The 26,027-nt window shown below is 53.5% G+C and overlaps 2 long non-coding RNA genes across 4 annotated transcripts, besides 6 other annotated features; one reads left to right on the top strand and one right to left on the bottom strand.

The window, feature by feature from the left end:
- Positions 1-419: 419 nt before the first annotated feature.
- On the top strand, positions 420-25,615 carry LOC105375113 (uncharacterized). Of its 3 annotated transcripts, NR_187845.1 has the most exons (4): positions 420-468; positions 20,336-20,500; positions 24,199-24,355; positions 24,461-25,615. It is a non-coding gene; the product is annotated as an uncharacterized LOC105375113 (long non-coding RNA). The 3 variants fall into 3 exon arrangements; NR_187846.1 differs by lacking the exon at positions 20,336-20,500; NR_187847.1 differs by lacking the exon at positions 24,199-24,355.
- Positions 5,841-6,489: an enhancer, noted in NCBI's record as "H3K27ac-H3K4me1 hESC enhancer chr7:89543-90191 (GRCh37/hg19 assembly coordinates)". NCBI's record gives its function as "activates a minimal SCP1, AML or CMV promoter by ChIP-STARR-seq in naive H9 embryonic stem cells {active_cell/tissue: H9 hESC(naive)}" and the evidence as "EXISTENCE:reporter gene assay evidence [ECO:0000049][PMID:30033119]".
- Positions 8,770-9,493: an enhancer, noted in NCBI's record as "H3K27ac-H3K4me1 hESC enhancer chr7:86539-87262 (GRCh37/hg19 assembly coordinates)". NCBI's record gives its function as "activates a minimal SCP1, AML or CMV promoter by ChIP-STARR-seq in naive H9 embryonic stem cells {active_cell/tissue: H9 hESC(naive)}" and the evidence as "EXISTENCE:reporter gene assay evidence [ECO:0000049][PMID:30033119]".
- Positions 10,218-10,941: an enhancer, noted in NCBI's record as "H3K4me1 hESC enhancer chr7:85091-85814 (GRCh37/hg19 assembly coordinates)". NCBI's record gives its function as "activates a minimal SCP1, AML or CMV promoter by ChIP-STARR-seq in primed H9 embryonic stem cells {active_cell/tissue: H9 hESC(primed)}" and the evidence as "EXISTENCE:reporter gene assay evidence [ECO:0000049][PMID:30033119]".
- Positions 10,942-11,665: an enhancer, noted in NCBI's record as "H3K4me1 hESC enhancer chr7:84367-85090 (GRCh37/hg19 assembly coordinates)". NCBI's record gives its function as "activates a minimal SCP1, AML or CMV promoter by ChIP-STARR-seq in primed H9 embryonic stem cells {active_cell/tissue: H9 hESC(primed)}" and the evidence as "EXISTENCE:reporter gene assay evidence [ECO:0000049][PMID:30033119]".
- LOC101929756 (uncharacterized) lies at positions 12,683-19,066 on the bottom strand. The gene is made up of 3 exons (NR_187733.1): positions 18,679-19,066; positions 14,738-15,902; positions 12,683-13,117 (listed from the first exon to the last, which is right to left on the bottom strand). It is a non-coding gene; the product is annotated as an uncharacterized LOC101929756 (long non-coding RNA).
- Positions 12,959-13,729: an enhancer, noted in NCBI's record as "H3K27ac-H3K4me1 hESC enhancer chr7:82303-83073 (GRCh37/hg19 assembly coordinates)". NCBI's record gives its function as "activates a minimal SCP1, AML or CMV promoter by ChIP-STARR-seq in primed H9 embryonic stem cells {active_cell/tissue: H9 hESC(primed)}" and the evidence as "EXISTENCE:reporter gene assay evidence [ECO:0000049][PMID:30033119]".
- Positions 13,730-14,502: an enhancer, noted in NCBI's record as "H3K27ac-H3K4me1 hESC enhancer chr7:81530-82302 (GRCh37/hg19 assembly coordinates)". NCBI's record gives its function as "activates a minimal SCP1, AML or CMV promoter by ChIP-STARR-seq in naive and primed H9 embryonic stem cells {active_cell/tissue: H9 hESC(naive and primed)}" and the evidence as "EXISTENCE:reporter gene assay evidence [ECO:0000049][PMID:30033119]".
- Positions 25,616-26,027: the final 412 nt, after the last annotated feature.

The following is a 26,027-nucleotide window of genomic DNA, read 5'->3' as shown; positions in this document are numbered from 1 at the left end:
ACAGGTGACTCTGAGTGGTTCAAGACTTTAATGGAGGCAGGAACTGCAGATGGTGGAAACGGTGAGACAACTGGAATGAGAAGAGGAGCCTGACGATGTGGCTGAATTGCTGCAATCTCAGGGTAAAACTTTAATGAATGAGGAGTTTCTCCTTACGAATGAGCAAAGAAAGTTGTTTTTTGAGATGGAATCTACTCCTGGTAGAGACAAACATTCTTGAAGTGACAACAAGGTATTCAGAATATTACATAAAGCAGCAGCAGGGTTTGAGAGGACTGGCTCCAAATTTGAAAGAGGTTCTACTGTGAGTAAAATGCTGTGAAACGACATTACATACCGCAGATAAGTCTTTTGTGAAGGAAAGAGTCCATTGAAGAGCAAAATTCATTGTTGTCTTAAGAAATTGTCACGGTTACCCCAGTCTTCAGCAACTGCCACGCTGATCAGTTAGCAGACATCAACACTGAGGTAAGAGCCCCCATCATGAAAAAATTATGACTTGTTGAAGGCTTAGATGATCATTAGCATTTTTAGCCAAAGAAAGTATTTTCATTAAGGTATATACTTTTTTATACATAATGCTATTGCACAATTAACAGGCTACAGTATAGTATAATCATTACTTTTATATGCGCCGGGAAACCAAAATATTTTGTGACTCACCTTGCTGTGGTATTCACATTATGGCAGTGGCCTGGGATCAAACCCACAGCGTCTCTGGGGTAAAAAACCTCCATTGTTCTGCCTGATGTTTTCCCGTAAGTCTCACAGGCTCTCATTACTTTCTTTATGCTTTTTTTCCCTCCTCTCACTCAATAATTTCAGATAATTTTTCTTCAAATTTGATGGTTCTTTCTCCATGATCAAGTCTGCTGTTGAACTCCTCTATTGATCTTAAAATTCAGTTATTCTTCAGTTTCCGAATTTCTGTTTTGTTCAGTTTTTATAATTTCTATCTCTGTTGTTATCTCATTTTGTTCATAAGTCGTATTCTGAATTCGTTCAGTTGTCTCTGTTCTTGTTTAGCTCACTGGGCATCTTTAAGAAGGTTACCTTGAATGATCAGTTAATTCATCTCTGTGTCTTTACGGTCATTTCCTGAGATATATTTTGTTCCTTTGACTGGGCCTTGGTTTCCTGTTTCTTTGTATGCCTTGTGACCTTGTATTGATATTTGGGCATTTCAAATACATTGTGCTTCCCGCAGTCTTTGTTAACTTGCTTTGTACTTTCACTAATCAGCCCAGGTAGAGATTCTGGAACTTCTCAGCCTTTTCTGGGGATGCATCTTCTTTGGGCTTGTGTAAGTAGTTTCCCAGTTAGAGTTTTGCCCATGTTTTTCAGGAGGCCTCTGTCCTCTGGTGTCTGTGGCTCCGCAGGATCCTTTGTGCTGAGCGAAGATGCTCGTCTTTGCTCTCAGCAGCCCCTTACCTGACATTCAAGCTCTGCAAGTTTCCCTCAGTGCTCTGAGTCAGGTGAGGCAGATACCAGTCCCATGGGCAGCCCCCTGAAAAGCGAGAACATTGGATGCATGTTCCACTCTTCACTCTCCCTCTCTAGAGAGCAGCCAAGCATTGAGGGCATTGAGGGCTCCTATCATGCCAGGGAGCAGTAGGCACCAGGGCACAAAATGCTGTGACTTTTTTTCTTATCTGCTCAGATGTGGCCCTTCTGGGCTTTGCACTCACAGGGGGTGCTGCAACCTCCTAATCGGATTCTGGGGTTCTCACACTGGCTGTTCTGTCCATAGATTATTGCTAACCAGTGTCTCGGTGGGGGAACGAGGACTCCCTGGGGCTTCCTAGTTCTCCATCTTGCTGGTGTCCCTGTATTTAATTTGTTCTTAGATTATCTATGTTGATTTATAAATTCTAGCTCATTCATTTTAATATTCCATTTAATTAGACCGTATACCATGATTTAGGCGTCTATTCTGTGGAGGAATCCACATTCATAATGACAGGTTTTCATGTTTGCTGCATTCTGGGTGTGAGATCGTAACATTCACATAACAAGGCGAAGGAATCTCCAGGTCACACTGAGTGAAGGACAGACCAAGATGGGTCCTAGGCAGCTGGATTTCCTACTTTTAAGTGGCTGAGCTGTCAGAAACCTAGGGCCTAGCAGCGGTGTTCCTCCAGGAAAGTGGGAGGAGAAATAGCCGCTGGACTAGGTGAGAACCGCGTCACGTTTGAGAAGCGCTGATGGCTTCCTGCAGGACGGGAACGGACTGTGTTCCTTTAGCTCGCACGGCTCCTCTCCTGAGTGTGAATTTCGGTGCCTGTTGCTCCTTTACTATAAATCAACCTTGTGTTTTAAGGCAGCCGTCCCCAACCATTTTGGTACCAGTTTCATGGGAGACAATTTTCCCACGTACTGTGGGATGAGGGTGGGGTTGGGGGGATGGTTTTGGGATGAAACTGTTCCACCTCGTATGCTCAGGCATTAGTTAGATTCTCATAAGGAGCACGCAACCTGGATCCCTCTCACACGCACAGCTCACGACAGGGTTCATGCTCCTATGAGATCGAATGCCGCCGCCGATCCGACGGGAGGCTGTGCGGCCCAGTTCCTGACAGGCCACGGACCAGTACCTGTCCACACTTGGGGTTGGGCACCCCTGTTTAAAGGTACCTTGTTAATCTGCCCAGTCTAGTCCCAGAGAACGCCAAAGGCATGTGTTCATGCCAAATTGTGTGTGTTCATACCTGGAGACGTGCCGTGGACACCCCATCCCTGGAGGCAGGGATCAGAATCCTCTGATCTACGGGATGCTTCCAGCAGTCTGAGGGGCGCAGAGCTGGCAGTGTTGCGTTCGTGAGGAGCCAGGCCAGCACTGGCCCAGAGCAGCGATGTTCCTGCCAGTTCCCAGGGAATGAGAAGGAGTGAGGGCACAGGATCCTGACCACCCCCGCCGTGCCTGGTGTGGGTGGCCCTTCAGGAGGCAGCCCGCTCTGCAGGGTGCTCGTACCCTGCTGTCCTAGGCATGTCCTGCCCTCAGAGTCCCAGGTTACTGGATGATAAAATCTGTAGTTACTGCATATATTTTCTTGCAGTTCTAACGTACCCTTTCCTTCTTACTATCAGATTTTAAATGTAAAAATTAATTCAAGTGAAGACAGTACCTCTGTTTTCTCATCGAGTTCCAAGAAATGAACCGAGGTGGATTTTCCTGTTCTCCCCGGAAGACCAAGAACCTTACGAGGGCCCTGGCTTTCTTCCCTTCTCTTTTCTTTCTTTCTCTTTTATTTTCTTATTTTTGTGCTTTTCTTTCAAGCCCAGTTTCATGATTTAAGACCTCAGTGCTTTCAGGTTCCAAAAATCTGGGCTGGTTCCTTGCTGAACCAACAGGGGTGTCCAGCCAGGTTCCTTCTCTTGGGGCCCACATAATCCCATTGTATGGTCCTGGCAGGTGGCCAGACACTTTTCCTGCCCTGGGGTCTGCTAGTGAGAGGATCCTCAATACAATTAATTCCCTAATCTCTTCATTCCAGCACTTTCCGTCTACGTTATTGAAAGATGGGCATTCAAGATGCTCGTTTTTAATGACTTGCTATTTTCACCCACTTGGTCACAGCTCTGTTGGGTTTTATTGTCAGCGGGTAAAACACCTGCCTCTGGGCTGTGCAGATAAACTATAGAAAACTGCGTGCTCCCCCTCCCTCATCCAGCAATGAGCCCAGGCAGGCAGGGGAATTAACATGCACAACTTAATTGGATTTTCATCGTGTCCTGCTGGCTGACAGAGGAGCTCCCCTCTCTTCATGATTGCATTCAAATGCCAGGTTTAATTCTAAGACTGCAGCTTGGAAGGTGAAAGGCATTTCGCAGTAAACAGTTCATTAAGAGACACTTCCAGCCTCTCCGCCTCCTCTGAGTGTGGAGAGGGGCTTTCTGTGGAAGGGGGTTTTGATTTAATTGAGAACTCAGTGAATGCCTGGGACCGTGCTGTGGGCCCAGGACCGTTGCCACAGACGTACCGTTGCTCCCAGGACCATTGCCACAGACGCACTGTTGCTCTGCCCCATTTGCACTGGGGTTTCCGAGTGCAGCCAGTTCAGATGCCCAGGACCCAGGAACCCTCCCCAGTGACTCACTCCACGGCCACCCTGGGCCGCCACCCTGCACACCGGGTGCTGTTGCCCCACTGAGAGAGGTGGGATCAGAGGCTGGGAGATTCATGAACATGACTAGGGTCACCTGGCCGAAGTGGTGGAGCTGCACTCCGCTCTGAGGGTGGCTGATGGCCAGGGCCCTTCTGAATGAATGAATGAACTAGTAGCCACAAATGGGGACTCTCCTGCCTGAAGTGATGGTTGGGGTGAGCCCAGGGCTGGAGGTGGGGCGTGCCTGGGAGGACAGAAGAGTTAGGAGCAGGGAAGGTGGGAGCCACAGTCCCTGATGTGCATCCGAACCTGCAGGGTCCTGGCAGAGAATGGGGTGAGGCAGGCACCACATCTGCACGAGACAGGAGCCACCTGCCGACGTTCTGTCCCCAGACCTGGTGCCCCTGCTCCTGACCCTACAACTGAGGTTTTGGACCCAAAGCCTCAGAACTGAACTCCAGCTTAGGATACGGAATCTGCCTCCAAAAGGAAAAGAGCACAGCTCTGGGAGCACACACCCCCATCCCCTCTGCAGACTCCACAGGCTGAGGCCGCCCTCCCGCCATCTGCACTCCAGTGCCCACCCTCACCTGCTGTTCTCCACACAAAATGTGAGGGCAGGTCTCCCTATGCTCAGGGGGTTGGGCCTCATAGGGCCTGGAGAAGCACATCTTTATCCTCACAGCACCAAGTCAGCCCATCACACAACCACAGACACACAGACACATACACACACACACACAGGCACACACATACAGACATGCAGACACTCATACACATGCACAAACCTATACCTGCTCATGTACCACACACACCCAGAGACACATACACTCATGTACACACAGGCACCTACATACAGACATGTAGACACGTACTTATACACAGACACATACACACACATGCAGAGACACACGTGCACACATACATGCATGTATGTGCACATATAGACACGGACATGCACAGGTACAGCTACATATGCATATGAAGGCATGTGCACATGTACATGCAGAAACACACGCACACACATACAGACATGCATGTGCACACACATACACATATGAACACACGTGCACATGCACACGGGCACACATGTATAGAGATGCATGTGCACACAGAGATGCATATAGACATACAGGCACACATACAGAGACACACATGCACACACAGCTATACAGATATACACAGGCACACATGCACACACACGTAGACACACGTGTGCACATGCAGACACAGAAAGACACATACACATGCTTGAATGTCCACACAGACACACATATGGAGACACATACAGTCACACCCATAGCGAAGCACACACGTGCACACCCACTTCAGTTTGGTGCCCGCATTTCCTGCCCTGCCCTTTTCTCTGAAAGGAGAACAGAAAATCCCAAAGCCTGGTACTGACAGCATTTAGCTAATTGTGCAAACTGCACCCTCACCTGGAGCAAAGACTTCTCTGAGTTTTATCCTCAGATTAGAATGGATTAAAGTTGTTCCATGCTGAATTCATCCTGGAGTTTCACAACTCCTGGGGCAGGCAGCTGGGCTGGGCCTCACTCGTCCTTCCTTGGGGCCCTGCTGCCCTGTTCTCCTGTGGAGTTTCCCTTCCCGCAAGAACAGAGCAATCACTGGGTGTGGGAAAATGATTTTCCATATGGAAAAAGAAATAAGATCCCTGTTTCCCAACATACACAAAGCCCCACATGGGGCAAGAACTTATGTAAGAGTTTTCCTTTAAAAGTTTGTCTGGAAAATGTAGGTGGACAATTTATGACCTTGGCTGTAGGGAAGGATTTCTTAAATACATTGTAAGAAGCCCTGGCTATAAAATAGGAGTCTGATAAAATGTGAGTACATTTAAAAAACTATTGGTCAAAAATAACCTCAAAGAAAATGAAAGAGAAGCTAAAAATGAGAGGATACTCACCGGGGACATAACTAACGAAGGGTAGGCCTCAGGAATGTGTAAGGAATTTCTATAAATCAGTAAGAATGAGAAAAAGACCCCGAGACATGAAGGGGCATCTCCCTCAGGAGAAGCAGATGTGAAGCAGTGTTTGCAGACTTGGACATGTGGAGATCAAGACCCAGTGAAATGCCATCTGGCTCACTTGTTGGCCAGCACTGGCCGGGGGTGAGAGGCCTGCGTGGCCGCCCAGCCTCACAGGCCTTTCCCAGTGCTCTTGGGCCTTGGGCACAAAGGGTTTTGGAGGCCTCCTGTCCTGTGAGAAAAGGGCTGCCCAGGGCCAGTCAGCAGGCTGTGTGCAGGCCCAGAGAGACCCTGCCTGGGACCCTGCCTGCTTGTGGGCTCCTTCTCTGTCCTCAGCTACCCTTCCTGGGCAGTGGCCCAGCTGGAGACCAGCAGGTGGGTGAGTCACAGCTGTGGGTCTGAGCTGTGGGCGCCTGTGCTCCCCAACTGTGGGGGCAGAGAGGGCATGAGGAAGTGGTTCTGTGAGTCAGAGACCCCTGGGGGACGTGTTTTCCAGAACACTGACCTCCCCATGGCCCTGACAGAAGTGGGGCTGTGGCTTCTGTCCTGTGAGCCTTAGACACATGCAGACAGACACATAGAAACACATGGACATGCACACAGAAGCACATGTACATATGCATAGAGACACACACTGACATGGAGACACATATGTAGACACGCATATACACATGCAGACAGACACACAGGGACATAGACACACACAGACACACGGACACACACATATCTACACCCAGATGTACATGTGCAGACACGCTCACACCTACAGACACACGTGGACATAGACACACATGGCCTTGGGGAGGGCGTGAGACGAGTGCTACTGGCTGCTCACCCGCAGCTCCCTCCCTACCACACAGAGATGCTGTCAGATCAGGGCCACCTTGGGCCCTGCAGGCTCACAGAGCAGTGGAAAGGGAGGGGTCCCTGATGGGGTCTTCCTAGGAGAGGAGCCTGCTGGGTTGGGTTTGCTTCTGAACCCTAAAACCCAATATGGGGACCCTCCATGACTCCACGTAAGAATTAGGAGAAGCAGGTGAGACACAGGGCCCAAGAGAGTTTGCAAAACCTGGGAACGGTGAGAAGCTGGAGCTGAGGCCATGACCTGGGCTCGGCAGCAGGAGGGGGAGCGGCCTTCGGGGAGGGCAGGGCTGCAGCCGCGGAGGTGGGGGCCACACCCAGGCTGGGTTTTCTCTTTACGGCCATGGCGCCAGAGGGATTTGGGGATTGAGATTTGCCTGGTGCCTGATGGAGAGTGGATGGGAGAGGGTGCCTGGAGGCCATGAGGCCGGCCCGGACCCTGGCGTTTCCAATGCTGAGCTGGTCCGCCCTTGAGGCCAGGGAATGCTGTGGTAGGAGGTTGATGGCCCTGGAGATGTCCACATCAGAATCCTTGGGATCTGTGCAGATGTGGATAAATTAAGGGCTTGGGGATGGGGAGAGCATCCTGCAGTATTGAGTGAGGCCGGGGCAATGACATGTCCCGAGAGGGATCTGACGGCAGGGGGAGCCCACGTGACTAGGAAGGCAGCCGCTGGAGGGTCCAGGAACACTGGCTGAACGTGGGGGCCTCTAGGAGTGGAACAGGGGACGCTGCTGGAGCCTCCAGGAGGCCAGGCCTGGCTGATACCTTGGTTTTAGCCCAGTGAGGCCTGTTCCAGACCGCTCACCTCCAGAGCTGGGAGAGGGCGAAGGCATTGTTTTGAGCAAAGCCCGTTATAATGGCAGCAGGGGACTGATGGGAAGCTTCGTGACTTGGATGGGCAGTGACTTCTGGAGGGAGCTGTTGTCTACCCTCTGCCCCCGTTAGACACCTGCGGTACCCTCTCCCCCACCAGCGACAGGCGGGCTCAGATGCTGGGGTCTGTGTGCCCCAGGCACGGGCCACACATCCTGTTCTGGGTGTCAGTGCCGTCCATGGCCACCACTCCATCAGCACGAAAGCAACTAGGAGCTGAGTCTCCATCCGACTGGGGCCTGTGTTCCCTGACATCTTCCACACCCCAGGCAGACACGGCCCAGACAGCCACCTGCATCCTCTGTCACCTTCTCTCCCCACCATTGGTGGCCTGATGGCCCTGGGGCAGGTGGGTCACCTGGTGGGTGGCTGAGCACTCCCTCGAGGTCCCAAGGCCGATGCTGCACTGAGCCTGCAGCTCTTGCCATGGGCACTGGTGGGTCCCAAGTAACAGAGCAGAATCCCCAGGCAGCACATGGCTCTGGGCACTGGGGAAAAGGAAGGACCTGAGTGGTCACGCTGAGGAATCATCACTGTCCTCAGCAGAGCAGCGGAGGGACCTTTTGAAGTGCCCGCTGGCTGGAGCATCCCCAGTGGGGCCCCATCAGGATGCAGCCTAGAGGAAGCATCTCCCAGCACCCGTGTTGTGGGGGACCCTGTTCTTCCTCAGGTCCTGCTCAAAACTCTGCTCCAGGCACACCCCATTCAAACCCCCTGATAGAAATTTGTCTGGGCCTTGGCTGGAAATCTGCCAGCAATGGCAGAGGGGAGGGATCACAGCTTTAAGCTAAAAGGGACACCACGGGTGGAGCTCGGGGCCTCTGTGGGCCCAGATGCAGGGCCTGGGCAGTGGTCAGCCTTGCTCAGATATCCTGCACAGATCAAGTAGAAAGTTCTCAGCTGGACAAAAGACTCAGAAAGAAACATGTGGGGCAAACTCCTGGCCACCTGCCCATTGCTCCAACAGGCTGCATGGGGGCTGACCAGATGAACGGGCACCTGGCCTTCCCCTAATGAGCACAAGCTGCTCCCACAGGAAAACAAAAGTGTAATTCAGAGGGGGCCCTGGGGACCCACAAAGCCCTGCGGCCCGTGTGTGCTGATGGAGTTCATTTTCTGCATATTTGAGGGAGATAAAGCAATCATTGTGTGCGCCTCTTTACCCCCCAAGACCTCACTGATCCTTGGAGCTTTCTACCCGAAGAGTCTAATTACTGGGTCCAGGGTGACATAGGGGAGCCCCGTGGAACCAGGACCATCTGCTCAGGTCTCTCTGCTGCCCTGTGGCTCTGAGGGTCCTGCAGGAGGGAACCGCTGTGACCAGGACAGAGCGGGTCTTCCTGACACTGCGATACTGGCTTGAAGGAAGTGATGAAGAGCACACGTCCCTGGGTGGCCCTAAGCCAGGCTCAGCACTGGGGCCGATGGTCCTATCTAAGCCAAGCAGGCCCCAGAGCTTTCCCTGGTGCCCACAGCTCCATGGTCCAGGGTCTGAGATAGGAGGCTCAGATCTGGGTTGCTGATAAACTAGGCATCTAGTCCAGGGGCTGCTGGAGGCAGGAGGAGCCAAGACCTTCTCCTTGAGCTAAGATGAACTTAGGAGGCCAGGAACAAGGTCAGGAGGGCAGGGAGGAGCTCAGAAGGCCGAGGACAGGCTTGGGAGGCTGAGGACTCGCTCAGGAGGCTGAGGACCCGCTCAGGAGGCTGAAGAAGAGCTCAGGAGATTGAGGATGGGCTCAGGGCCTGGGGACAGGCTCTGGATGCTGGGGAGGAGCTCAGGAAGCCGGGGACAGGCTCAGGGGGCTGAGGAGGAGCTCAGGAGGCTGGGGAGGAGCTCAGGAGGATGAGGATGGGCTCAGGGGGCTGAGGACGAGCTCAGGAGGCTGAGAATGAGTTCAGGAGGCCAAGGCCGAGGTCAGGCGGTGGGGATGGGCTCAGGAAGCTGGTAACACTCTAATCCAAAAGCCCTTGGGCTGAGCAGAGCCCACCACTGGACCAGGGCCCGTGGCCGTGGGGGTCCCCAGGGAAGTTGCAGAGGGTGGTCTGAGCTCAAGGTAGTAGGAGTGGGGGTACCCCCCAGCTTCCCCCACACCCACCCCCATTTCCCTGCACACTGTGGCGTTGTCATGGAGGCGCTCTGCTCAGAGCCAAGCGGACCACACCCCACCATTCAGGCCCAGACACCCAGAGCCACCAGCACTTTCCACCGGGACAGGGCCTTCTGAGACAACTTTCCAGGACAGGCAAGGTGGGGACACCTCTGAGCCCCTTCCAGGAGCATATGATGAAGGAAAGGAAAGAGCAGAAATAATAATACTAGAAGTGGCCAGCAGCAACGGTGTGTCAGACACAGTGCCCAGCTCCCGGCAGAGTGGCTGGACACCGCACCATCTCCAGGCTGTGATCCAAGTTTCCCTCCCAGCCTAACTGTACCGGCTCCCTTTCAAGTGGTCGGCTGGCTGCCTCTTGTCAGCAGGCAGCAAGGAGGAAAAGAATGCCTTTCTGCTTCTCATTGGTAAAACCTTCCGCCCAGATAAGATGAGAGACAAAGATTTGGGAGAAAACCTGCTGCGAGCAAGGCCTGCCCTGAAAGGTGGAGTGCCCTGCACCTGGGCTGTGTCTCCCAGCCGGCCGTGCGGTCCACCGAGGCAGGGGCACATGTGCTCGAGACACGGCCCATGGTGAGGACCTGCACACAGACACCATTCACTCACGCACACACTCACGGAGGACACACCCACCCATATTGACACACTCACACACTGACACAGGTACACATTCACACACTCATGGACACACACACACACAGGCACACACAGACATGCATTCACACCACACACCTACACAGAAGCACTCACACACTCATGGACACTTACATCAGTACAAACACAGACATATTTGCACACGCACACAGACACACTCTCCTATACACCCACGGGGCACACATTCACACTCGCACACACACATCCACACTCACCTACACACCCACACACATTCACACACTCACACTCATGGGCACACACACCCACACAGACACAGAAACTCATGGACACACACACCAATGCAAACACAGATATTTTCACACACAGGTGTACATACACACTCAGCTACGCACCCACACAGGTGGATATGTGTGTATAGGAAAAGACACTCTCCAGGGTCGGGCACTCCCCGGTTTCAGGCATCTGCTGGGGTCCTGGAAGGCCCCCATGGGTGAGGGGCCACAGCGCACGCAGCCCCCAGCTCCTGGCTCTCACCCATTAGAAAGGACACCTGCCGCCCTGGGCATGAGCAGGACTGTGGGAGATTTGGGGTGGGGGCTTCACCGACGAACTGTGGGATTCTCCTCATCTGAGGCTGCTCCTGAGCCCACACGGATTTAGCATTTCACGTGCTGCTCACTAAACTGAGTGAACGAGTGGCAAATCAGCCACTGTGCGAGCCGCCTCTGTGGGAACCCAGGGCCGGGCTCTGCTCTGCAGACCTCTCCCCTGCCCAGGCCTTGGCTCCAGTGGGCACTTGTCCTGCCAGTGGCCATGGCCCTGGCAGGCTCCTCTGTTTTCCTGTCCATGAGCCCCTGCAAGAGGCCTTCTCTGTTCCAGTCCCTCGGCATCCCGCTCTCCTGGCTTCTCTGGGTGAGGAGTGAGGAAGGGTCACAGAGGGTCCTGCCTGCCCGTCAGTACCTCAGGGCCTGCTTGGAGGTGTGTGGGGCCCTTGTCCTCGTCCTTGGGTCTGTGACTCCAGATCTGAGGCCTGTTGGCCGGCCCTGCACCAGAGCTGCCTGCCTCGCTCCTGTGAGGAGGGACCCAGCGGCCCCCAGACAGGGGCAGAGGACAAGGTCGTCCTAATGCTGGGAGACGAAAGCCCCTTGGCGCTGTCCTGCGCCCGCAAGCCCTGCCACCCCAGTTTCCCTCTCGCTCTGCAGACGATGCCCTTGGCCTCATGCCCCAGTGCGTGTGGTGGAAGAGACGCACAGCGCAGCCTTGGGAGCCTGCCGGAGGCCCCCTGAAGGCTCAGCCTGCTGCTCTGACCCCCACACCAGCTGGAGTCCAAGTTTCCAGGAAGACTTCATCTCCCTTGCCCCTCGTCTGGTTCTCGGAGAGCTGGATGGGGCTTTCGCTCAGCAGCACGGGCACAGCTCCACTTCCAAAATGTGAGGGGCAGGGGCCCAGGTGTTGGATGCCTTCAGAGCCCTGGAGCCCCGGGAGGGGCTCTCAAGCCCACCTGCCTGAGTCGGGCATCAGGCAGGGAGAGTGCTGGGGCCTCCGCCCCTGCTGGCCCAGTGATGAAAACCAAGCATGAAGGGTGGGTGTTCATTGGTTACTTGCTGTGTGTGGCCTCTAAACATGCACCATTCCCTTTAATTTTCACAGGCTTCATGGGATGGTATTAGTGTTGCCACCGGACAGGCTGGCCCTGTGGAAGGAACATGGGCGTGGGCAGTTCCTGGCCTCTGGTCTTGACTCCTGACTCGGTTCCACCCCCTTGGGATGCTTGGCCCAATTCGTGGCTCAGAGCCCGGCTCTATCTATTTAATGGGAGCTGCACTTGAGGAGGGCCAGGGAATCATCTGGGCCAGCAGAGGCAGAGGCCCCCGCACGCTCCCTGCCCGATGCCCGACTCAGGCAGGTGGTGAAGGCATCCGAGACCTGAGCCCCTGCCCCTCACACTTTGAAAGTGGAGCTGCGCCCCTGTTGCTGAGCAGAAGCCCCACGCATGCAGGGGTGGGTTGGGAGGGGCCCCTGCCAGAGCCTCTCTCTACGCCGGCCTGGCTGTGGCATGTTCTCTCCAGATTTCCTCCAGGAGACGGCCCTGGTCCCTTGCCACAATAGAAATTATGCCCCATAATTTTCTGTTGTAAAACTTGATCTTTTTCTGCAAGCAAGTCATTAAAACTTCAGCTCTTGCACGCTCCATGTCCCATGAATGCCCAGGCCTTAGCACAGCTTCCGCAGTGCCAGAAGTTCCGTCAATCATGTTGAGTGATTGTAAATCACTCAATCAGTGGATGTAAATATGTGTACAAGAAGAAAGGAAGGAGTGGGGACACGGCCCCTTCCCCACAAGCCTCTCTCAAAAACCCGAACCTAACAGAATACAGGGGTGGAAACATGAACCTTTTCTCCATCTTCTGACCCTTAAGGACAGAGAGAAGCAGCAGGTTGTGATGTCAGTAGGAACTTGCAGACCAGGACAGCTGAGCGCTCACCGACGGCTCGCAGGACACCCTCAGTCACCGCCGCGCCCATCAGAAGAAACAGCAGGAACCAGACATTGCTCTGCCTGCAGAAATCACATCTGAAAATCAACTCTGCTTTGCTCCAAGCGACGGAGCTTTTTCATAAGTATAAAAAACAGCTAACTGGATAAAAACACCTTTCCTGGGGACCTGAGTGCTGCAATTCAAAGGGGCTGGCAGTGTGAGGCTGGAGAAGGGCTCCTGCAAGGCTCTTAGCTGGGCAGGCCGAGGGAGGCCCCTCTCGGTGAGCACGAAATCAGGGATGCCCCGGGCCGGTTAGGGATGGGGCCTGGACACCGTGAGATTTCCAGCAGGCTACACCTGGGGCTGCAGCCGGGGCAGCCCCCACAGAATACTCAGAGGCAGCGGGAAGTGCGGGCTGGTGACGAGAGTGGGAACACTGCCCCACACGCAGCCGCCTCGGTGCCACCTGGCGGACAAGCCGCCCCTGTCCCCCGCTTGGCCTCTCCACATGGCACATTTGCCCCTGGCAGTGCCCAGCCCCAGGTCCGGGTGACTGGGGACAAAGAATACCGATGGAAAAACAAGCTAACGAGCTCCTCCTAGGGAAGAGGCCCGCGCCAGGGAGGAGGCGGCCGTCTGGGCGGAGCTTCCCGATAGCCAGGCCCGGGCGGTGCCAGGACACTCACCTCAGGTCTCACCTGCAGAGCATCCACGAGTCACTCACGCTGGGCCAGGCACAGGCTGTGCACACAGAGGGCAGATCCAGACCACACGAGAGCATAGGTGCCCACGGGTGTGCAGGGATTGTGGGGGGAAAGGAGTGTGTGCTTGTGTGCCTGTAGGCGTGGGTGAGTGTAGGTGTGCCTGTGGGAGGGCGAGACCATGAGTGTGAGGGTGCGCGTGTGCCTGTGGGAGGGTGTGTGGGTGTGGGTGTGCGTGGGAGGGTGTGATTCTCTGTGGCTATGCCTGATTGTGTGTACATGTGGGTGCACATGCTGCACGTCTGTGCTGCAGGAACCCATAGGGCCAACCTTAGGTCCTAATTCTGGGCTGACCGTGTGCCGTCCCCCACGGGCCCCTGCATCCTCAGTTCCTCATCTGTGCTGTGGGCAGAAGCTGGGCTGCCCCACACTCCAACATCCCTAGAAGGGAAGGGATGGGGGCAGGGCTGGCTGCAGGGACAGCCTCGCCCACAGCAGACACGGAGGCCGCAGGGTCATGCCCTGGATGGATGTCACCCAGGAAAGGTTTTGCCTCCTCCAGTCTTTTAAATCAGGCTCCAGGGGCTACGATTACAGCCCTGGGCTTTCTCCCACCCCTCAGCCTCCCTCCTTAGTAGCTCCACAGCAGCTCCCTCCCGAGAGCACACCACCCCTGCACGCTCGGAGCTGCATCCTCCAGCCCCTCATTCCCCGCTCATCTACTCCGACCCAGCTAGGGATCCGGCTTCCCTCTTAGGGCCATTTCTCCTTTGCCAGCATTTTCTCTTTTTCCCTTCTGTCATGCTCTGCTACGTCCTCATGCAAAATTAAGCCCAAAACGGTTTCAGTTACTCCCAACCCTGAGACGAGTTTTAAAATAGTGACAGGATGAACATTGCACCTCCCATGTGAGGGCTGTAAGGGACTGGCAGTTCCAAATGCATCTTCCACTCGCAAAGTTGCTAACACAAATCCCATGGGGAAAAGGGAACTGCTGACCTTTCAGCGTGCAGATCTTCCCTTTGATGGGTTTGCTTGCCTTCAGAAGAGCCCAGGAAAGCTCTGCACAGAGGCCTGTGTGTTTCCGCCCCTCCTGTAGGAAATGAACGGGTGCGTCTTCTCCGTTGCCTTTATTGATCAAGGCCAAAATCACAAGTATAAATTACCACGGTGGGAAACGAGCTGCTCTGATGAGAGGCAGGTGGAGGAGGCTGCCTCGTCAATAATGCATCTGATCAGAAAGAAGGGGCTGATCAGAGGGAGGCCGGGCTCTTTGAAGGTTCTGGTTTTCCCATGGAAAGCTCCACCAGCTCTCTGCCTGCCGAGTTCCTGCTCTTGCCCAGACGGGAAGTGCGAGTAGCTTTCATATCAGACCTGCCGCTCACCGCACCGAACTGATTCCATGGACACTGACATTTGTCTCTGCAGCAGGGATGGCCGCCCTGGCCCAGGCTCCTGTCGCTGTGGATGCCTCTGTCTGGCACAGACTTTCGGTGTTAGAGCCCCAGGTGAAGGTCTGAAGCAAGAAGGAAAAGGACACAGAATCCCATCCCTTCTGAACCTGCGGGGTGCAGCTGCCCTGAGATCCTGTAGCATTTCACTGGGAGCCGACAGGGATGGTTTGCGCGCTGCCGGGATGCGTGAACAGGGGAGTCCATGAGGCCCCAGGGCTGACTCAGGGCACGTGCAGTTTGGGGAGCAGCCAGGGAGGCCTCCCGGGCAGCCGGTTGGAGGACAGAGCTGAGGACATGCAGGCTGTCTTCTATGATCAAGGGTGGGTGAGGCACAGAGGAACTCTGGTGACTGGATGCAGCCGTGAGGGGCCGTGGCCCAGAGAAGCACAGCGGTGTCTCACCTGGCTTCTCCGCAGGCCTCAGACTCATGTCCTCAGGTGCAGGTGCCGGGCCCTCCTCCAACAGTGAGCTCCAGCTGCCTCCCCGCTCAGGGGCCACTCTGCTCTGATACGGGCTCTGATACCGGCCTGCAGCTCCCCTGCTCTTGGTTTCTGCCTGGTGTCACCTTCTTCCACGACACCCAGTCCCAGGATGACTGACGCCCAGGGAGATCTGTCGCCTCTCCTCAGAGACCACGTGTGTTCACCCTCAGCAGCAACACGCTGCTCCTTCCTCAAGGCGTCCTGAGGCATTGTGCATTTTCACCATTTCTGGGATGTAAAGAAGGAGGAATATTTGTCAGATAGAGAGAATACCGGTTCAGATGGTTGGTGGCTCAGATAGAGGTGGGGTTTGTTCCAGCCAGCAGCCCGTCCTGAGAACCAGGCTGGAAGAAACACCCTTCCCTGTGGCACCACAACACCTACACCGAGGTGTCTGTGCTGCCTGGAAAGCACAGCGGGTCTCCCCAGTGCTGGGGTCATCCGGAGAGCCAAGCACCTTCCAGAGGGGCCTCGAAGTGGGGGCGCAGGCCCCCCAGGGTGCTCAGGCCAGACCGCCTCCTCTCAGGTGGTTCAGCAAGAGCTTCCTTCTGCCTCAGATCCTTCCAGGGTGTGGACTCTCTTTTCTTATGATTCTTTTCTGACTTCACCTTACGTCACTCCTCTCCAAACCTAGATGGTAAGCCCGGTGAGGGCAGGGACCCAGCCTCCCTCATTTGCAAAGCAACCACAGTCCCTGCCTTTGAGCTGGGCTGCGGGTGCCAAGCTGGAGAGCATTTCGCCCTCTCCCACTGCTGCTGAAACAGAAACCACAAATTTAGTGGTTTAAAATAGCACAGATTTCTTCTCTTGCAGAGCTGGAGCTCAGAAGTCCGAAATGAGTTTCACTGAGCCAAAGCCAGGGAGTCAGCAGGGCTGGTCCCTCTGGAGGCTGCAGAACACCTGCTCTGCACCTCCTCCGACCTCTGCAGCTACTCGGCACCCAGGACAGCTGTGCGGCCTCTGCTGTGTCTGAGCTGCTGTTGTTCCATGGCCCTCTCTGTGAGCTTGCTGTCTCCCTCTCATAAGGGCCCTCTCATAAGTCATCTGGATGACCCAGAACAACCTCCCAATCTCTAGACACTTATCCCGACTCCATCCATAGAGCCCCTCTTGCATGTAAGGTAACGTGCCCACGGGTTCGTGGGATTAGGATGTGCACACCTTTGGGGGCCTGATGTAGCTGACCATGCCCACATCTGGTGGGAACCCACCTTCAGGGTTTCTTCTCCTTGGACACAGGCTACAGCCCAAGCCAAATGTCCCAGAGCCTGGAGCAGGGCCCCCCTCCCCCACTTTCCCCAAAGAGGCTGGCGCGGGAACAAAGCCCCTGTGTGGTCAGGAGCTGGGAGGGCAAGACAACAGGACAACAGGACAAGAGGACAACAGAACAACAGGGCAACAGGGCAACAGGACAACAGGGCAACAGCCATCCCAGCTGGAGAAGATTCTCAGGGCTGAGGTGGAGGAGGTCGGGCCTCAGCCGGGCTCAGAGTGGAACTGCTGGTCCTCCTGTCACAGGAGGGAGGGGCGGTGGGACGAGAAGAGAGGGCCTTGAGATCAAGCCGTGCCCTGCTGAAGCCTGGCAGAGGGGCTGTGCCTCTGGGCAGCTGGTGTGAGCTGTCGTCTCGTGCAGCTGGTCTAGGATGGGGCAGAGGCTCTGCCTTGACCTCTCCCACCCCTGGTGCCGTTTGCCCCTCCACTCCAGGTGAGCACAGCTGGAGCAGCAGCTACCTCGAGGACTGGTGGCCTTTGAGGTTTTCCCGATGGACTTTTCAGGCTTCTACCAGCGGGGCCCCGTGACTGTACTGCCTCCTGGGAGCTGCTACTGGGAGAGGCAGCGGTACAATCCCCCCTGCCTAGAGTCGACAAGGGGCTTCCCCCACTGAGCTGAGACAAGGCCTTCTGTCTGCATCATGAAGCTGCGATCGCAGCTTCCTACAGCTATGAAACTCCCAGCTCAACCTACCCAGACTCAGTTCTGTTCCCTGAGACCTTCGGTCACAATGGCACACCTCGCCTGGGGTGGAACCTCCTGCTGTTTACACTGATGAGCCCAGGGTGAGCAGAGACAAAGCGCCAAGACACGCTCGTCAGAGAAGGGCTGGGCAGGACAGACACAGGCGGACGGGGTGGCCAGAGAGGCCGTGAGAAACGGACAAAACAGAGGGGGTGCATTTATCATCCCTTCCTCAGCACCTGACGCCAGGCAGGCCCTGTGCCTCCCCAGTCCAACTCTTCCAGGCATGGCAGATGCTTGATAATTCCTGCGACTGACCCAAAGGCTTCACAGGTCAGATTCCAGCCAGGCCGAGCCTGTGAAAAGACTTTCTTCAGAAAGTCCAGACCATGGTGATCATGGCCATTACGGCTGGAAATGTTGGAAGACCTGCAGGGCACTGGGCTTGTACCTTGGCCTCTTGGACATGCCCCCTCCTCCCTCGTCTCTCCCCAGGGAGAGTCAGTGATGGTTCACCTGGTGCCAGGCTGTTCCCCATCCAGCAGGAGCCATTAGGGAGGAGCAGGTGGGCTGGGCCCCACAGACTGAGAGAGTCAGGTCCCCAGCCCTGGAGAAGAGGGCACTTTAATGAGTGTATTTGGCCAATGGCCAGTCACTGAGGCTGTGGTCCTCCCCTGTCTCCGAGAAGCCCCAACATGGAAGGCTCAGGATAGAATATCCCCACGACTCTGCTCACCACCCTTCCCATGAGGCTCTGTCATGGGAGGCTGGATGCAGTGTGTCTTTAAAATGGTCTGCCCATCTCAGTCTCAAACTTTGGAAAGGGTTAACATAGCATTCCATGACCAGGATGCTGGGACTTTGAAGTTTCCTCTGCTAAACAGGACAGAGGCTCAAAAGAGCTCTTCCTCAAGCTGATTTAACCAGTCACTGGGTGGCACAGGCCATCAGCACTGAAGGCCGCAGCAGAGAGATAAAGGGATGCAGCATCACTTATGCAAAAGCAGAATAAGGTATTACCCCTTGCAGATGGCTTCTGGCATTTACCTTGTTGGATCTCATGTTAGCAACGACCACCAACACTTCTGAACGGCAACACTTAACGAGAGTCTTTCCATTCTCCATGAAAAGAGTTGTCACAGAAAAATTTAAAGGGAAAGTGGCTTTAAACTGCCCATATCAAGTAGGAGTCTCCGGGGCTTGGCTGAGCCGGCGTTCCTCCTTTTAACTCTTCCATGTCGTTGGAGAGCCAGAGTTTGAAAGCCCTGGGACAGAAGAGGAGGAAGAAAAGGAAGACGAGGAGGACAAGGGGGAGGGAGAGGACAAGGAGGAGGCAGAGGAGGAGAATTAGGAAGAGGAAGAGGGGGATGAGGAGGAGGAAGAAGAAGACAAGGAGGAGGAGGAGGAGAGGGAGGAGGACAAGGAGGAGGTGAAGGAGGAGGAGTCGGGGAGAAGGAGGAGGAATCGGGGAGAAGGAGGAGAATGAGGAGGACAAGGAAGAGAACGAAGAGGAGGAGAAGGAGGAGGAGAAGGAGGACTAGGAGGAAGAGGAGAATGACAAGGAGGGGGATAAGGAGGACAAGGAGGACAATGGATGAGGAGGAGGGAGTAGGAGGAGGAGGGGTGGGAGAAGGAGAAGGGGGACAAGGGGGAGAAGGAGGAGTGGGGGAGATGGAGGGGCCAGAGGAGGAGGCAGCCGTGGTGGCTTGGGCGAGGCGTTGGATCCAGGGCGTGCTTGGCTGTTGCCTCCCTCTAGACCTCAGTCTCCTGTCCTGTGAAATGGGCAGGCACTGAGGACCCTGTAGCATCCCCAGCCCATGAGTGCTCACCCCCTTGATGAGCAGCATCACTAGCATGTAGAAATACGTTGGATTTAAGATATTTCCAAGCCATGGTCCTAAGTGGTGGCCACATTCCAGGCTCTCCCCAGAGGCGATGAGGATCCGGTTGCTTGGCATAAGCCTCACTGTCGTGTTGTCAGCCTCTTTCCGCCTGCATCCTGGCGGGCGTGCAGGGCGTCCCACTGAGATTTTCAGTTGCACTTCCTGATCACTACGAGGCTGAGCAGCTTTTCTCAAACTCATCAGCTATTTGTGTATCTTCCAAACTGTTTGCTCAAGTCTTTGCCCGTTTTTTAGAATTGGGCAGTAGTCTGTTGATTGCTGGGTCTCCAGAGTTGCTTACACATTCTTCACGGAGGTCTTTCATCAGGTGTCCCTGTTGTGTGTATTTTCACCCAATGACTTCCATTTTCTTGAAGTCCAATTTATCAATCTCCCTCCTTCCCCTGTGGCTGGTTTTTTAAAATGAAGTTTTTTTATTTTAGAGCCATTTCGAGTTTACAGAATTGTTATAAAGATAGTGCCGGGTTCCCATATACTTCACACAGTTTGCTTATTATTAATGCCTTACATTATAATGGTACATTTGTCAGAATTAGCGAACAAACGTTGCTACATAATCATTGACTAAAGCCCACGGTTCATTTGGTTTGTTCTCGGGTGGCCGTTTTGTGGGCCGGGATCCTATCCAGGATCCCGTGTGACATTTGCTTGTCACATCTCCTTGGGGTCCTCTGGGCCGTGACAGTTTCTCAGACCTTCCTTGTTTTCTGTGATCTTGAAAGTTCTGAGAAGCTGGGCTCAGGCATCTGGGGGAGTGTCTGTCTGCCGGGATTCGTGTGAAGTCTTTTTTTCATGATCAGATTCCGGCTGTGGGCTCCTTGGAGGAAGAGCAGAGGTGAGGCGCTTCTCATCCCACCACATCAGGGGTCCTGCCTCGGCCCGGCTCACTGCTGATGTTGACCTCGGCTACCTGGCAGAGTGTGCTGGCCAGGTTTCTCCAGCATGAAGTCACTCTCGTTTCCCTTGTAAGTTATACTCTAGTTTATCAATCTTCTAGTTTATGGCTTGTGTCTTCTCTATGAAACCCTTGCCTAACCTCTCAGTTTCGAAGGTATGAGAGGGAGGAGTCAAGATTCTTTTTTCTTTTCATGTGGATATCCAGTTTTCTTTTATTTATTTATATATTTTATATTTTAGAGACAGGATCTCACTCTATCGCCCAAGCTGCGATCACAGCTTACTGCAGCCTAAAACCCCTGGGCTCAAGGGATCCTCCTGCCTCAGTGTGCACCTCCGTGCCTGGCCTACATCTCTGTGTAGAGACACAGAGTCTTATGACGTTGCCCACACTCGTCTCAAACTTCTGGACCCAAGCAATCCTCCCACCTTGGCATCCCAAAGTCCTGGGACTACAGGCATGAGCCCCCCTACGCCTGGCCTGATATCCAGTTATTTCAGTACCATGTTTCCCCCTGTGGTTTTGGCCTGCTTGTTGAAAATCATGGGATGGTGCCTGTCAGCCTATTTCTGTAATCTCTGCTCTATGCCAGTGAGCTATTTCTTTATGGCCTTACTGGTGCAAGATTTGACAACTCTTCTGATGGTGCCGTTCCTTTCCAGATGGCTGTGGCTGCCCTTAGACCTTCACTTCTCTATGAACTTCTAAATCATCCTGTTAATTTAGAGGAAAAGTCCACAGGGACTCCAATTGAGATTTCATTGAATGATTAGATCAATTTGTGAAGAATTAGACATGGTATATTTAGAGATATATCTCTCAGATAATTTTTGGTGTAGAGGTTTTCACATATATTGTGAAATTTATCCCTAAGTATTTGATTTTACTATTATAGATAGTATTTTTGACTTCATTTTAAATTAGTCATCAGCAGTATATAGAAATACAACCTATCTTTATATGTTGACCTGGTGTCCTGTGATGTTTTAAATTAGTCATCAGTAGTATATAGAAATACAACTGATCTTTACATATTGACTTGGTGTCTTGTGATGTTGCAGAATTCACTTATTGGTTCAAGTTGATTTTTTGTGGATCCCTTAGGATTTGCCACCTCATTTCACCTGTAAATGAGGATAGTTTTACTTATTTCTTTCCAATATTTATACTTTTCTTTTCCTCATCTCTTTGCACTGGCTGGAACCTCCCAGCCCAATGCTCACAAGAAGAGATGAAAACAAAAACAGAAACCCTTCCCTTTCTTCCCGTTTTAGGGGGAGTTATTGAGTATTTCATCATTTGTTATGATGTTGGCTATAGAAAAAAAAAAGTCTGTTTTAACAGTGCTAGCCACTGGGAGAGTAAGCACCTGCCCTTATCTGAAGGCAGGGACTTCTGAAGGCCTCTGTGCTGAGTTCTGAATGACTTCCAGGTCACAATTAGCTCCTGGATGTTTACAGACAGAGTTGCAGAGACGTTCCTGGGTCCCATGACCCTCGTTGGACCCCAGGCATGCAGAGGAGAAAGCAGCATCTTCAGGCCCAGCCCAGGCGAGTGTCCTGCCTCTCTCACTGTCAGGGACACCAGGAGCTTGCAGCAATGGTCCTAACCTCTCCCTGCTCCTTCTCCACTTTATGGTCCTTACAACAAGGTGATCCCCTGCTCCAGGATCTCAATCATAAAGGGTAGAGAAGCATCTGCATGAGGCAAAGGTGGACCTGAAAGCCAGGCCAGTGTTCGTCCCCACTCGGCCTTGTTGCTCCGTCTCGTCCAGGCTAGGACCTGCATGTGTCAGGGAAGCAGCTGGCTGAGCTCATGGGGGCAGAGAACCACCAATGAGGTGGGGGAAGAAGGGTCACGCTTCATTTAGAGGGGCACACAGTGCAGAGGAGGCCAAGCCTAGCCAGGCAAGACGTGCATCCTGAGTGAGGCGGGTAAGACCACCTGCATTCAATGTGCCCCCTGTGTCTCCCCACTTCTCAACTCTTGTCACACACTGGACAAGCAGAGACAGGAGAGAATCACTCCATGTCATTGAATAAACTGGTTTAGAGCTCTGTCTGATAAAACCACAGTGAACAGAGAAGAAAAGAGCCATCACGTTTTAACGTGTGGCCGGCCTGGGTGCAGCCTTCTGAGGGATCCCTGGAAGCCTCAAAGCTGTTTCATCTCGGGCGAGGTTTGGGGTCCTCTGATATTTGTGGATTCTCTACCATATGGGAGACCTAAAGGCTCAGAACATGAAAAGTGTTGGGAGCTTTAAACTACTATCTTCTCTTTTCCTTTGGTATAATGCACGAGAGCAAAATGTACAAACGGATCTCCTTATATTCAAGGTACAGACCAAGGAATGAAACCCAGGGAGCAAAAGGCACGGCAGACAGCAGCAGGGCCAGGGCTGTGTCCAGTCCTCTGAAGACTGCGGGGTCTGCATAAAGGAGGCCCTGTCTCTTCCCCTTGGGCTGCTCGAACCACACAAGCTGATGTCAGGAGTGACTAAATCTACCCTAATTAATAGACCATTTGACTCAAGTCCAAGCTAGGAAGCAAACACACAAAAGGGGTTCCTATAAAAACACCAGCAGAGGCGTGGAGCCGTTTCAGCGTGCTGTGGAGAGAGCTAACTCCTGGCTGCTGATCTCTTGAGGCCACGTGAGGGCTCCATCCCTGGCTTGGCCACCCACACCTCCCCTGGGCCGGCACCTTCTTATCTGGATGAAAACAATTCCCACCTCACGGGAAAGTTTTAGGCAACATTGTTTATTGCCTGCAAATCTCCCTGTGTGGTCTTGCTGAGGCACCAGCAAAAGCAAGTTGCTTCTGCTCTCTGTTGACTTTGGCCAGAGCATCTTTTGACCGAGATTTGACCGAGTCACCACCGTCTGACAATTATGAAGGATTTGATTTATTCTGGACACTGGCCTTCTCCAAGCTGGCGGCTAATAAGGTCCTATGAATGTTGTTAGCTGTTGACTGTGGACCACATAATTTCTCAGAGATTCTGCACCTCTTTGGAGCACTAGCTGGGCGCTGCCTAGAGGAACTTTCTGATGGTGGAAATGTCAACTGATGGTTAGATGTTCAGGGGCACCCCATCCACCAGGCGAGCTCAAAGCAAATGTCCTTCTGGAGTGAGTGCATGGGTCCAGGAAGGCCAGGCGTGTCGTTGTGTAGGGCCATGAGTCCACGAGGAAATGAGGTGCCAGTCCCCCTGCTCCTCACAGGGATGGACCAGGACTCACTTCCGACCAGTTAATTAATGGACTTGAGACTTGTGACCCACCTGAGGACCAAGTCCTCGCAGGACACTGGGTAGAATGGTAAAGACAAGCAGTGGCATGACCTCTAATGCCAGAGTAAGAACGTGTGCCCCATGCCCACCCAGGTCGCTAGGCCTTTACTGCAGCCGAGGCACTGCCTCTGTCTGGTCTTGGGTGCTGAGAGGCCGGGACCTGCTGCGGCCTGTTGGATGCAGCTCATGCTCCCTCCCGAGTCCGTGGCAGAGAGCAGTAGGGGCTCAGGGCAGCAGAAGGCCCAGGGAGAGGAGGGGGTCCTCCCTGTCCAGGTGAGAGCCTTTGACCATACCAAGAGCCGGGGTGCCCAGTTGTCCTTCAGCACTGGGCCTTCCAGCAGGCCAAGGGAGACAGTATCAGAACCTCATCATAGGCTGTTTAAGGCTTAAGTGAGGTTGACAGGTGAAATGCTGAGAACAGTGGCCCCTTGCAAGCGTTTTATGGAGGTAGTGTATTCTCTGTGTGGATGCAGGTGGGGAGAAGTGGAAGGAAGGACGCACGAGAGCCAGCCTGCGACACCTAAGGACAGAAACACCTCCCTCAGCCCAGCCGGCTGCTGACTCCATGCGAAGAGGGACACCAACCCTTACAATCTCACAGTGTCCTGCCCCTGCCCCTGCCCCTGTGAGGTGGGAATCATTATGCTTATTTCACAGACGCAGAAACTCAGAGGGCTTAAGGGTGATTGAAGTTTGCTCCAGGCCTGGACTCGAATCTGTGTCTTTGCTTCCTAGGGCGATGCTCCTTCCATCAAAACCAGAGTGTCCCAGCTCTAGATTCCCCACCCAATCTCCTGTGGCTGTCTCAGCACCTCCGTCGTGAATCCGTGCATCCCTTCAGACGACTGCCTTCCGATGCGGCCCCTGACCTGCCCCCCCTCCCATCACTGAATAGGACTCCTTTTCTCCTGGATTTCCTGTAGGAAGTTTCAAAATGCTCTCCAGGTTTTCTGTGGGTGGATTATCTCTCTGGATCTTTCTAAGTGAGTCCTGTGTTTCACCACAGCTCCCCCCACACAGTTGAGCAGCTATACCGTGGGGAGGCTTGGTCCTCTTGCCCCATTTGTGTGATGTCTATTGTAGTCATGCCAGGGGCCTGACGTCAGAGCTCCACCCTGACATGTGCTCATGCCGGTTTACAAACCCTCCCAGGACCAGGCCCCCATCCCTCTTCCAGGACAGGCTCTGGAGCTCCAGCTATTAACAGAAACATTCCAGCCAGCATCCCCAGCGACCCTCAGCCTCCCACGCCGCTGTGTCTTCATGACCACAGCCTGGCCACCACACAGCTCCCCCTCGAGGACTGTGACCACTTCCAGCCATGGTCTCTTTGGGCCATGCGGGATATATTCCCATTTCCCCATTCAGCTGGGAGATTTTACCAAGGGATTTTTCTCTCCTGGCTCCAATGCCAGCAAGACCATGAACAGCTGTGTCATTTTCACTTTCAAGCCTCAGCTTCTGTACATAAAAGAATACAGTTAATAATGATTTCCTCCTCCTGAGTTGCTATCGAATGAAATGAGGTTATGCACACACATGGCAAGGACCTGCGTCTGGCAGGAACAACATCTCGTTCATCGTCACGAGTGCTTCCCCTTGTGTCTTCCCTCCTGTGTGTGAGATGGGGGCTCCCAGGCCTCCCCAACAAAATACACTTTTCCAGCTTTTAGAGGCCAGCATTCCTAACTCCTTGCAATAAATCCCTATCATAGTACAAATGTAAACACATCACGGTATAACTCAAATCAACTGCCCCTGATTTTGCCATGTTTCAACCTTTTGTTGCCATCGGCCTCCTAAACAATGGCTTTAATGGAAACACAGGTATGTAAGCTTGGAAGCTGCTCAAACATCTCAGTCATTCAGAAATAAAACACTTGTTGAGCAGCTAGTCTGTGCCAGTTGTATTAGAGTTCTCCATAGAAACAGAACCAATAGGATGTACACAGAGAGAGGGATGAGCAGGGATTTTTCATGTGACTTGGCTCATGTGATTATGGAGGATGAGAAGTCCTGCTGCCATCTACAAGCTGGAGAACCAGGGAAGTTGCTGGTGTACGTCCCAGAGTCCAAAGGCCTGAGAACCCCGAGTTCTGATGTTTGGGGGCAGGAGAAGATGGATGTCTCAGATCCAGAATAAGGAAAGAATTCACCCTTCCTCTGCCTTTTTGTTCTATCTGGGCCCTCAGGCTTCGGGGAGCGTGGATTTTCCCACTCACTCCCCTGATTCAAATGCTGATCTCTTCTGGAAACGCCCTCTCAGGCGCACTTAGAAAGCATGTTTTATCAGCTATCTGGG

This window comes from Homo sapiens, chromosome 7 (genome assembly GCF_000001405.40).
Source record: "Homo sapiens chromosome 7, GRCh38.p14 Primary Assembly".
Lineage (NCBI taxonomy): Eukaryota > Metazoa > Chordata > Mammalia > Primates > Hominidae > Homo > Homo sapiens.
This window is presented reverse-complemented; position numbering and strand designations above follow the sequence as displayed.